Source organism: Homo sapiens, chromosome 12 (assembly GCF_000001405.40).
Source record: "Homo sapiens chromosome 12, GRCh38.p14 Primary Assembly".
In the NCBI taxonomy this organism is placed as follows: Eukaryota; Metazoa; Chordata; class Mammalia; order Primates; family Hominidae; genus Homo; species Homo sapiens.
In genome coordinates this window covers 5,874,422-5,887,754 of record NC_000012.12, presented here as the reverse complement: position 1 = coordinate 5,887,754, position 13,333 = coordinate 5,874,422, and the positions used below count along the sequence as shown (strand labels likewise).

The window sequence follows — 13,333 nt, the reverse complement described above, 5'->3', positions numbered from 1 at the left end:
GAGCTGTGCTTGGCGCATTGCAAGTGCTCAAAAAAAGAGTTAGCTTCTCTGCTTCCTTCCCAAGGGTCTCCATCCTTCTCTCTCTCCTTCCTTCTTTATTTCGAAAGCCGTATACAGTGCTCAGAAACAACTGATGTCTGAAAACATTAGTTGGATGACTGAGAAAATGATGGAAGTGAGAAAACAAGTTGTGACCCAGTGATAAGGCTAGTTGAGCCTCCCAGGGCTAGCCAGTCCTCATTTGCTTGGACGCTGTTGGCAGGCTCTGCTGAGGAGCAGGGAAACATGGGCAACCCTGAGGAGCAACATCCCCCACAGTGGAAGTGGTTTATCCCCAGGGCTGGGCTCAGGGGCCCTTCTTGAGTGATCTCTAATCACACATTTTTACTGAGGGTGCTGCTGTATTAGGTAAGGTTACTTACTTAAATAATTTAATATCAAAAGATTTAACTTTCACTTTCCTATATTTCAGTGAACCCATCATTACATTTCATTGGGGTTTGGGGCCAGTGAATGTATCTCCTCTTTATGTGTGGATTTTATGAATTTCTTATTCCTCTCTGCTTTAAAAAAAATCCTAGCCTAAGTTTTAATTATGATCACTTTCAAGAGACATAATATTTACTGTAAATGTTTCCTTTTATTGTGGTTAAATGTACATTACATAAATTTACCATTTTAGCCGTTTCAAAATGTATAGTTTTGTGGCATTAAGTACATTCACATTGTAGCGCAACCACCACTACCATCCATCTCCACAGCTTTTTTGTCTTCCTCAACTGAAACTCTGTACCCGTCACACACTAATGCTCCGGCCACCCTCAACCCAGCCTTGGAAACCACCATTATACTTTCTGTCTCTGTGAATTTGACTGAGGACCTCATATAAGTGGAATCATGCAATGTTTGTCCTTTCACGTCCTTTTATTTCACTTAACATAATGTCTTCAAAGTGTATCCATGTTGTAGCATATATCAGAATTTCCTTAAAAAAAAGCTATATTAAGGTGTAATTAATATGCAAAGAAATACATTAATATGTACAATTTGTTGAGTTTGAACACATGCAAACACCCTTGATACCATCACCATAATCAAGGTAATAGACATATCCAACATCTACCAAAGTTTCTTTGTGTCCCTCTATTTTTTAATTCTTTAAATTTCATTTTGTATTTGTGGTAAGAACATTTAACATGAGATCTAGCCTCTTACATTTTGAAGTGCATGATACTATTTTGTTGACTGTAGCCACTATGTTGTACAGCAGAACTCTAGAACTTACTCATCTAACATAACCTAAACTTTATGCCCATTCAACAACTCTCCATTTCCCCTCAGCCCCAGGCAAACACTATTATATTTTCTGCTTCTATGAGTCTGACTACTTATTTCACATAGCATAATGTCCTCCAGGCTCATCGATGTCACAAATGGCAGGATTTCCTTCCTTTTTAAGGCTGAATAGTATTCCATTGTGTGTATATACCACATTTTGTTTATCCATTCGTTCATTTACAGACGCTTGCTTCCATTTGCCTTGGCTATTGTGAACCATGCTGCTTTAAACATGGGTGTACACATATCTGTTCAAATCTCTACTTTTCCTCTCTGCTTTTAAACTTGCTTAGGATGGTCTGGGAAGCTTAGATTTATGGGCTGGGAAGGGTCTGTTCAGGGTCTTTCCTCCTAAAACACAGTTCCGGAGTCCCAGGCCAGGACTCTATTCGGATTCCTTTTGGCCTACTCCGGACACCTCCTGGGCATCATTGGCAGTAGGGTGTGCAGTTAGCACTGGTTTCCTATGCCCATGGAGAAGAGCAGTGGTGCAGATCTCCAGGAAGACAGATGAGATAAAGTTTGTGTTGGCTTTGAGTGGAGTCAGCCTTAATGGACTAAGGACCCCTTTCTTGAGTAGGTGTTGATTCATGGTCAGGGTCTGTCTTCCAGAAGGAGGCAGAAATATACTAGCTCAGGAATCTTAATTAGCCATGGACAGTCCTCAATATCCCCATCATGGCTCATTAAGGATTGCAAGGTGTTGAGGGGCATTTCAAAGAACTCGGGGCTAGCTAGTAACGTTGCACAGTGGTTAAGGGCTTGAACTCTGGATTTGGACTGCCTGGATTCAAATCTTGACTCTGCCACTCTGGGAAAACCTTTCTTAGGTTCACTCTTTTTTCATCTTTAAAGTGGGAAAAAGAATAGTGTCTACTTGTTGAGTTTATTGAGATGATTTGTGATATAGTGCATTAGAAGCCCTTAGTACAGTGCCTAATATATGGTAATCTGCGCATTTAAAGTGAGTTATTATTGTTATCATCTGGTTTTATTCTTGCAGCCACCTTTCTTTGGCCAGCTTTGGTCACTGGACAGTAAGCATGAACCTCAGACATAGCCTGGGCTGAATCTTTAGTGCAATTTTGATTCAGTTGCTCTTTTCTCTGCAAAACTTTGAGATCAGCTCACCCAACTTGAAAGCTTGGTGAAAGCTCTGACACCTTGTAAAGCCTCACTCCTTCCTAATAACTTTCTATATGAGTCAGGGGCCACCCAGTGTGTTTATACTTCCAGACCCCAGGAGTGGGGACGGGGTGGTGGCTGCCACTGGCTTCATAGCTTCCAGGCAGCCAGGGCCAATTGGAGAGGTCAACTCCACCAAAGGAAATTTTGTTCGGCTTCCACGGAATAGGAATATTAATCTGACATGAGGCCAGGGAAGGCTGGACCACAGGGAGATGAAATAGTGGAGTAAGAATGTTGTAGTGCTTTCTGGTAGAATCAGGCAGTGGATGGCTGCAGCAAATCAGAACCAGATTTCTGTACATGGTTCTGATGGTGGTGGGTGGGCAGGGGGTGTTCTTGCTTTAGGGTCCCCTCTGCTCTCCATTAGAAGTCCTGGCTGGGGGCTGTGTTTGCCCTTCTTCATCATGCTGTGGGAGGAGAGTGGGTTTGCCTGCTGGCTTCCTTTTACTTTTGTTTGGTCCATTTTCTGTTCAGATGGTCTAGAGCAATCTGCAGGTCCAGCATATTGTCCTAGGTCATGAGTTGAACAAAAGGATCTCAATGGTTGTTGTTTCCTTCCAATGCACACTCTCAGGCAAGGTGGAACCATCTTCCCAAGGCAGGCTGGCACCTTTGCCTGGGCACCAGGAAGGGCTTCCTGGTGTTTCAGTTACTGTTGCCTGCTCACCACCTCTGGAATGGTGCAGAAAGTGCCGGCTGTCCTGGGTCAGTACAAAGATGGCCATGGGGCCCTATCAAATCCTGCCTTCAGGCCACCTTGCCATGATGCAGTGATTGCTTTTCCTCAGGAGTGATTTGCAGGTATAGCAGTGATAGGGCCATGGGGGAAGGGGACGAAAGGACAGACTTTAAATTATGGGCTTGGCATTCATATCAGCCCACATCTGAGGCTGGCCAGGTGGACAGAGGAAGAAGGATGACACCTCTGAAACTGAAGCTGCCCTTGTCCTTTGAATGGAGGCTAGTAATTTCATCCTCTTCTCATGAATTTTGCAATGTCCTGGTGGTGGCAGCTAGAATCACTGCCCACAGTGGCTGTTATCTGGTATTGCCTTGCACCTTGACTGGTGAGAGGCCCAGATTCCAAATGTTCTTCCCTTTATAATGGGGCCATATAATGTCATAGTTAAGTGTGCAGGGTCTGGAGGAAGACTGTCCCTCTATAGGTTTCCCAACTCTGTTATTCATTACCTGTGTGACCTTGGGCCACATTTTTAACTTTTCTGTGACTTGGTTTTTTCAATCTGTAAAACAGGAATTTTAATATATACCTGACAATGCTGGGATTAGGTTTAAGTTAGATAATGCACAGAAAAGGCTTAGAGAAATTCCTGCCACACATGGCTCAATCAATCAATGTTAGCAATTATAACAATTAATTCTAATTACATGGTGCTATTTAAAGTGGATTTAAGAAATCCAGAAAATGTCAGAGCTAGAAATGACCTATGAGATCAGTCATCTCAGCAAAGTCCTCATTTCATAGATGGGGAAATCGAGGTCTAAGAAGGCAAAGTGTCTTGCCAAGCCCCAGTTCCTGGTGGTAGAGGAGCAGGGACTTGAAGTGAAGACCTGGGCTCCCGGCCTAGAGCCCCTCCACACCCTGCTTCTCCATGGGGGCCACCTCTCAAAGCTTGAAGAAAGTCATGCAGAACGTCCAGAGACCCTGGCAGCTGGGCAGACACCACACACACACACACACACACACACACACACACACACACACCACCCTAATGTCAAACACGCACACATGCACAGACCACCCTAGGATTTGTGCTATTTCCAATCAGTGGCATAAATGACTGAGCAAGAGAAGTTTACTCAGGATGCATATTAAACAGCTAAATGACATTTCCATGAGTGTTTCTACAGAGTGGTTGTGTATTTATGAGAAGGCATCTCTAGGTCTGGCTCAGCAGTAGAGTAGGTGGTCCAAACCCTGGGGGACATGTGTCCTCTACCTCAGGTGAACCTGAGTTCTAATGGAGGGGGTGTATGCTCTGCACTTGGGCCTCAGATATTTAATTGCTCAGTTTTCAGCATGCTAGGCGGGGAGTGACGGGAAGCCCGGAAAGGGAAAATGGAGCCACTCATGAGATTTTAGGCTGACACGGGCTGTGTGTGTTAATGGTGCTGGGGGTGGGGGTTTCCAATGGGGCACGTGGTGGGTGGTGAATGCTCCCTACTGATAAGGAGCTCAGGCTCACTTGGAACCCTGGCAGGGAAGCCACAGGAAGCATCTCTGCTCATGCAGCAGCCGTCTTTGCTCTCATATCTCCCCATTCAGTTCTTAACCTCATCCTCATAATTTCCCCTCTGTTTCTTCCTCTGCCCTCCTGTCCAGCATATCTCCCCTTTGTGGCTCTGAGGACCCCCAAGTGGTCTATGCAATGCCCTCTGGCCCCAGTTTGATCAAGATCTCTGCCTTTTTTCCTGGGGCTTTAGTCTGCTGCTGTGTCCTTTGCATCAGGAAAACAAAGGCAGCTCTGTTTGGGGATGTGGGCGACTTGGCTGTGTCCTGTTCTCCATTCCTTTTGCTCCCTCCTAATTGCTCTTTCAGACCACCCCAGCTGATGCCTCTCCCACCTTTGACGTTTCCTCCAAAGCTTGGAAAAGAAGACCCATCACATGACCCCAGTCCTTTGGCCAGTTGTCCCTCTGATGTCTGACCAAGCTATGAATGTCCTCTGTCTAGCCAGCAGGCCAGGACCTGAAGCTGGCTCTGTCCCTACTCTATGCCTGTGGGAGGGGAAGAGCAGGTCCCAGCCTTTCTGTTTGAAGGTACCATTAAAGTCCATGCCTCTCAAAATTCTCTTCCTCAAGTAGAGAAGATAGAGCAGCATAGAAACTTCTCAAGAGGAAGAAAGTCTCATTCTGGAAAATAACTCCAAACTGTTTCTCATTTGCAGCATGAAGACCACAAACCCAGTGTTTTTTATATCCACCTCCTTCTAGTGTACCTGGGGCCCTGATGGGAGCTTGAGTTAGAGGGAGGCATTATTTCTTTAGACTGTAGGATAGGTCTTTAGACTTCAGTGACTGAGTTGATGAAGGTCAGATAAAATCTCAGTGTGAACCTAGAAATGCTTTTGACTGTTCCTTTCCTTGCTGTTCTTAATGACTCTTGAAGAAAAAAAATACTTGTCTGTTTTCAGTGTCATTCAGCCCTGCCTTTATCTTGCCATAGTTATTTACATTTGAATTCTCTTTCTTTGCCTTCTCTAGCCACCCACCCACTCATCTCTAACCTTTGCCTGAAAGAGTTAATTCTCTTCTTCAGCCCCAGCCAGGAAGTTTCCATGTGCCAGTAGGATCAGTCCAGGATGAGCATGATTGAAATCACTAATTTATTTCTATAGCTTCAGTCTCTGTCCTGGAATGGAACAATGGACCAAAAAGTGTTCCAGACACATTGTTTGTTTAACAAAGGAACATTCTTCCAGCTGAACTGTATGGCTATTGGATTTTATGGTTTGATTGGTTAGCCCTCATAAGGGGTTTATATTTCTCCTGTTGGAGCTGGAGGGAGTGATGGGGGGCTGGGGGTCCATAAACCCCTTTAATTGTTGTATTGTGACTCACCTGAACCTGGTCTCTCACCTAGTCAAAAACCTTGACTTCTTAGCATGATGCCTTGCATCCAGAGGATTGGTTAAAGGCTGTAAATCTCAAAAATGAGCATGCTGTATAGCCCCAGGAGAAATTACAATATTGCCCCTTCTGAATTTCAACCCCTTTGGCTTTGAGAAGGCTGTTGATTTTATTATTGATCATTGAGTTTGATCTGATGCATTTCACAGAGACTTGGCTCTGTGGCTGTGCCCTTGGCTCCAGGGGCAGCAGCTATACTGATGATGAGTTTTTCCATTCCCCCAGCCAGAAGGCAAGAGGTGGTAGGGTAGATGCACATGTACTCCTCCCTTTCTTCTGGAAAGTCTGATTTGGATGCATGCATATGTGGGTTTCTTTAGATTAGATGGTGTGTGTTAAAAATTGCTCTTGACATTCTGCCACAGAGAGGGGGATAGATGGAGTGACCTTTGGAAGGCCCCTCTCAATAGAATAGTTATAAAGTGTTTTCTTGCTTTTCTGTAGACTGCACATTTCTTTTTTTCTGTAGACATACGTAGAATACTAGACAACTTATTCTGGAAGGGATGCTCTGAGGTCATCTTTGTCCATTGCTCTGGTTCTGGAAAGAATCATCATAAATCCAGTCCATCATGAGGATAGTAGATTCATTTTGGGGTAGCCAATATAGTTGCGCTTCCATCCATCCACCCACCCATTCCACCCCTCAATCCACTCATCCATCCATCCATCCATCCCCCACCTACCCATCCACTCATCCACCCATCCACTCATCCATCTATCCACCCACCCACCCACCCATCTATCCATCCATCCACCCACCCATCTATTCATCCATCCACCTATCCATCTCTTCATCCATCTGTCCTTTCATCCATTCACCCATCATTTATCAAATATCTACTAAATTCTAGGAACACTCCTAATCTGCTCCTTATTATTTAATTTATTTTGGTATTTCTATTAATTGAGAAGATCCATTCAATCCTTGCTTGACTTGATTTTTCTATTGCATTTGAAACAGTTGACTCCTTCCTCCTGCTTGACATTTTCCCTCCCTTGGGTGTCCAGGAGCCCATGATTCTTTCCTGAATCTCCTCTGCCTCTATGGGCTTCCTCTTATTCTCTTTCATGTGTTCTTTCTTCCTTATCTGTCATTGAAGTATCAGTGTTCTCAGAGTTCTGTCTTCAGATGTTTTTCTCTCCTTTTTCCTTTCCTTTGCTCTTCTTACACACACTTTTCTGGGCAATTTCATACATTTATGTGGCCTAAGTTACTATCTAACTACCTACGATGACTCTCAAATGCTCTTCTTTAACCTGCACTTATCCTGCGTTCCCCAGGCTCTTATGTCTGTCTCCTGAACATAAATGCCTGGATTTATGTTTTGGAAACATCTCAAGTTTAAGGTCTTCATAAAAAAACTCAGTATCTTCTCTGTAAAACCTGCGACTTCTTTATTCCTTGTCTTGCTGGTTGTCTTAACCATTCTCCCTGTCAACTACAACAGAATCTGGAAGCCTCCTTAGATTCTCTCTCCTCTCGTGTTCTGGTGGACACCAGGTCATGTCAATTCCATTTCCCGTATCTGTTTCTACCTTACCTTCCCCATTGCCACAATCTAATTCCAGCACTCACTATCTACCCTTGTGTGATTGAACTTCTTTCTAGATTTGCCCCTCCAAACCATCTTCATGCTCTATCAGAGTGATCTTTCCAAATGCAAATCTGATTAAGCCATTTCCTCATTAAAATCTTTCAATGGCTTCTAAGCACCTCAGAACGAGTTCACACTTCTTAAGCATGTTGTCCCAGGCTTTCACAATTAGTCTCTTGGCTACCTCTTTGCTTTTACTTGACCCCAAATGCACACCCTAGGCTGGAGTCAAACCAAACCACTTGTCATGCTGCTTCTTGCCTTCAGCCCCTGCCCCTGCTCCTCTCTCCATCTGAAATGCTCTTTCTTCTCTTAATATGTTGGTCTTAGCTCAAGCATTGTCTCTTCTATGAAGTCTTCTTTGACCCCTTAGGTTTCCTCTTCCCCACTTGTATTGCACCCTGCAAATATTGTAATAATTTGTTTTCATGTCTGTTTCCCTCCTAGATATTGAGCTTCTTGACAATGAGAATAGTGTCTTTTGTCCTGGTAACCCTAGTGCTTCACACAGGTCTTGTATCGAGAGAGAGAGCTTACTTAGCACGTGCTTATGACTATACCGTTCCCTAAGATTATTTTTCCTCTTCTGATCTGTATCTGAGCTATAATAACTTGTTTATTTAGACTTTTCCTTTTATCTTATCATGTCAGAAGTTCACCAAGAAACTGAAGGGCTTCTGAAATTGGCTTTGTTTCTTGGGCTTGAGTACAGTCCCTTCTTATTTACCTGCCTGCGGCTTCATCTGCTGATTATTGATGATTTGAAGAAAAAATTGTTTATGTGGAATCAGCTTCACGTGGCTCCTTAGCTCTGACCCTGCTTCTGCTTCCTTTCCCTTTTCCCCATCCTTATACCTGGGGAGCAGGAAATGCAGACAGCTTCAGTGTCAAGCCATGTTTTAAGTGGAGAAGGATGAAGAACACTGTCATGTTCTCGCAGGCCTTCCACACTTGTAGACGCACCAACTGTCCCACTTTTAGTGTTCCTGATGGTCAATTTCTCTTTCTTTCTTCAAACCAAATGTTAAGCCTGAGCAGGACATGATTAGCAATCTGCTTGAGGATAAAATGTTATAAGGTATGCGTTTGTTCCCTGCTCCATCTCCTATGGAAAACCACACCCTCAGTGAAGGTACTACTGGACAGTGTGTTTCTTCAGGGAGTCTCACATCTCAGTGCTGCCTTTCCTGGCATCTCTAAGTCACAACAGATCCTGTTTCCAGCAAGTTTGTATGGCCACATAAAATGCTGTGTAAATCAGTGTGGGAATGTGATGTTCCCAGTAATCTGTTGGCTCATTGAGGGATCGATGATCTCTAGCTTTATTGGTATTGGGTACTATGTTATTTGTTTGTCTATGTTATTTGTCTGTGTTTGTCTATGTTGTCTATGTTTGTCTATGTTATTTGAATCCAGCTTAAGAGAAAAATCAATAATGCCAATGTCAGGGGCATGCATCTATCTTATAATTAGTGAATCAATGAATTTATCAAGTGTTTTGGACATACTTGTTATGACCCAGGCATTGTGCCAGGGCTGGTAACACAGTGGGGGACAGAACTGGTGCCCGCCCAAGGGGGCAGCGTGGTATTATGGAAAAGCACTTAAGTGCTATAGACCTGAGCATGAATCTCGATTCCACCACTCCTTAATGTGTGATCCTCACCAGATGAGTCAACCTCTCTGAGCCTCAGTTTCTTCATCTATAAAATGAAGATTATTCTACTTCCCTTACAGCATTATCGTAAGAATTGGAGATAAAATACATCACGCACAATCTGGTTTGTACAGTGCCTCACATTTAATAGACAGAGAGTCATAATTATTATTCCCATTCATAGTAGTGATTGTAGTAAAATGGAAAACCAGAACTTTGTGTGCCTTGGCTTACTGCAATAGCTGAAATTTATAGTGGTACATTCCCTGATAACAGACATGACTCTTAGTGCTGCATAGGTATTAATGCTTTAAACCAGGGGTCTCCAACCCCCCGGCCGTGGGCCGGTAGTGGAGGTGAGCTGCATGTGAACAAGTGAAGCTTCATCTGTATTTACAGCCACTCCCCATCACTCACATTACTGCCTGAGCTCCACCTCCTGTCAGATCAGCGGCGGCATTCGATTCTCATAGGAGGGTGAACCTTATTGTGAAATGCACATGCTAGGAATCTAGGTTGTGCGTTCCTTATGAGAATTTAACTAATGCCTGAAGATCTGAGGCGGAACAGTTTCATCCTGATCCCCCCACCCCAGGTCCATGCAAAAATGGTCTTCCAAGAAACTAGTCCCTGGTGCCAAAAAGGTTGGGGACCACTGCTTTAAACAAACATCTTATGAGCTAGATACTTTTATTATTTTGTAGCAGGGGAAACTGAGGCAGAGGAAAGTTAAATAGCTTGCCCAAGATCACATAATTGGTAATGGTTGGCTGGGGATGTGAGCCCAGCCTGGGCCCCTCATGTTATGTTCTTCTAGCCACCATATCACACTGCCTCTTCATGAAATGCTCAACCCAATCATATTTCTAAGTTGCTAACTCTCTTAAGACTCCCAGAACAACTACCTCAAATTTCTTGGCTTAAAACAATCAAAATCCAGAAGTCCAAAATGAAAGTGCCAGCAGGGTGGGTTCCTCCTGGAGGCTCTGAGGGAGAATCGTCACATGGCCGTCTCCTCGCTTCCTATGGCTACTGGCAGTCCTTCACTCCAATCTCTGCCTCCATCTTTACATTGCCTTCTTCTCTCTGTGTGTCTCTGTGTATCCTTTCCTCTACTTATAAGGACCTCAGTCATTAGGTTTAGGGCCACCTTAATCCACTATGACCTCATCTAAACAAATTCTATCTGCAAAACCTCTTCCATAAATAAGGTCACATTATGAGGTTCTGCATGGACATGAATTTTTCAGGGTAAGGGCGCTACTCAACCCACTTCAATAACCATTTGCTCTTTACTTTAAAGTGGGAATTGATGAAAGAATGTTTATTTACTGTCTTTTTTAAAAATTATACTTTAAGTTCTGGGATACATGTGCAGAATCTGCAGATTCGTTACATAGGTATACATGTGCCATGGTGGTTTGCTGCACCTATCAACCCGTCATCTACATTAGGTATTTCTCCTAATGCTATCCCTCCCCTAACCCCCTACCCCTGACAGGTCCCAGAGTGTGATGTTCCCCTCCCTGTGTCTATGTGTTCTCGTTGTTCAGCTCCCACTTATGAGTGAGAACATGCAGTGTTTAGTTTTCTGTTCCTGTGTTAGTTGGCTAAGAATGATGTTTCCAGCTTCATCCATGTCTCTGCAAACGATATTAACTCATCTTTTTTATGGCTGCATAGTGTTCCATGGTGTATATGTGCCACAATTTCTTTATCCAGTCTATCATTGATGGGCATTTGGGTTGGATCCAAATCTTTGCTATTGTGAATAGTGCTGCAATAAACATAAAAGTACATGTGTCTTTATAGTAGAATGGTTTGTAATCCTTTGCGTTTATACCCAGTAATAGGATTGCTGCGTCAAATGATGTTTCTGGTTCTAGATCCTTGAGGAATTGCCACACTGTCTTCCACAATGGTTGAACTAATTTACACTCCCACCAACAGTGTAAAAGCATTCATATTTCTCCACATCTGTTGGAATTATGTCCTAGAATATGATGCGGTTCTAAGAGCACTATTTTAATTACTTCATCTGCCTTTTTGGAATAAGACAGATGTGGAGAAATACGGTCTTATAAGAAGATGTGGAGAAATACTGTCTTATTCCAAAAAGGCAGGTGAAGTAATTAAAATAATGCTCTAAGAACCCCATCATATTCTAGGACTTAATTTCAATGGGTATTTGGGCCATGGCCAGAATAGCAGACTGAGGGGGATGCTTCCTTCCTCCTCAGCTGGGCTGGCCCTGCCCCTTGGCACCACAGCGACTAAGTCTGCAGTGGCAGTTTGAAGCCAGATACCATCCTTCTTCTCTCACATCTTTGCCCTGGCCTTCTCTCTACCCGGTAAAATACCTCAAGTTCCTTCATTCGTTTTTCATTGGCTATGGGCTTGAGTTCTTTAGCTTTCTCATCTCTCTTCTCTGAATGAGCTCTGATTTTCCTGACCTCTTGAAATGAACCAGTCATAGAGGGGCTGTTCCTCTCCGTCATTCTAGATGTAGCCTAGGACTTATCATCTTTTTCTAGTGGCCACGTTGTGCTGCTCACTGCAGTGATTTTGAACAATTCATAGCCTCTCTGAGCTCAGTCTGCTCTTGTGTATACTGGAGATCATTGCACTTAATCACAAGAATACTGAGAGAGCCAAGCGGCCTGATGTGTTTGATGGTGACCGTCACCGGTGCAGCATGATGAATGCGTTAGTGGTAGTTATTAGGCATCTGCTACAGGTTCAAGGTTAAAGAGCCTGGAAGCTCCCACAGATGGCTGCCTTCTTTGGTTGATCCCAGTCCTTGGAGGGCCATCAGTCGGGGATGGTTAGTGTGGGAGGAGATGGAGGAATGGATCCAGGAGCTGGAGTGTCTGGTCCAAACTTTTGATCAGTTCATGTGCCTTTTGATGTAGCAGGAAGGAGTACCCTTTAAGAGCAGTGCTGAGGCCAGCAGGCCAGCTTGCGTTCCCCTGCAATCTCTGGCAGGTATCATCCAAACTTGTGTGGGTGGATCTTCTTGCTGTGCTTCTTAGTATCTCATGGTCTGTCCTAGTGATGATCTCCTTAGGTTGTGAGACGTGAAACAGGTACTATCAGATCAGGGCATTAAGAGGACAAGCATTTATTGGACACCTATTATATATAAGGCACAGTATCAGACACTGGGGTTCAACAGGTAAAAGACACAGAGCTGGCCTTCAGGAAGTCCAGTATAGCAGACAGACATGTAAACAATTTCAGTGATGAGAGAGGGGCCAGGTGCAGATATGTCTATCAGTAAAGCCTGTCCTAGAGCAGGAGTTAGCAAACTGTGGCCTGCAAGCCAAATCCAGCTTCCCACCTACTTTTGTAAATAAAATTTTACCAGAATTCACCTACACTTATTCACTTATATATTGTTTATGACTTCTTTTGTGACTCAACATCAGAGTTGAGTAGCTGTGACAGAAACCACGTGGCCTGCACTTTACAGAAAAAGTGTGCTGAGTCCTGTCCTTGATGATGGGTCGGCAGGTAAGAGTTCCAAATAAAAAAAGACGTGGACTCTAATCCTTGGAGGCTCTCTGGATTTCCATATGTACAACTAACACAGTTCAGAGGAAGATGAGCTGGAGGATCTGGCTGGGGGGAGCTTTGCAGACATGTGTGAGGTTTCTGATTGGGAAGCGGATGCCAGAAGGCACAGCAAGTCGCATGAGGCACGGGGTGCTTGGAGAGAGCTGAGAGCCCAGAGGTGCACGCTCGCAGCTGCACAGAAAGGCAGAGTGGGGACAGAGTCAAGCAAGGAGCAAGAGGCTGTGACAACAGAGAGGCTTGTATGGATTTGAGGCCCTGTTGAGGTGATAAAAGTGATTGAATATGAAGCACCAAAGAAGCCTGCAGCTCTGGAGTTGGGAAGGCC

General features: G+C 44.0%; 1 protein-coding gene and 1 long non-coding RNA gene across 4 annotated transcripts in view; one reads left to right on the top strand and one right to left on the bottom strand.

The window, feature by feature from the left end:
* The window catches only part of LOC105369621 (uncharacterized), a 30,421-nt gene extending 24,556 nt beyond the window's left edge, over positions 1-5,865 (bottom strand). Inside the window, exon 1 of the long non-coding RNA XR_931583.3 lies at positions 5,775-5,865. This is a non-coding gene — a long non-coding RNA (uncharacterized LOC105369621). The remainder of the gene's footprint in view (positions 1-5,774) is intronic.
* The window catches only part of ANO2 (anoctamin 2), a 383,578-nt gene that overhangs the window by 58,478 nt on the left and 311,767 nt on the right, over positions 1-13,333 (top strand). The window lies entirely within an intron of this gene.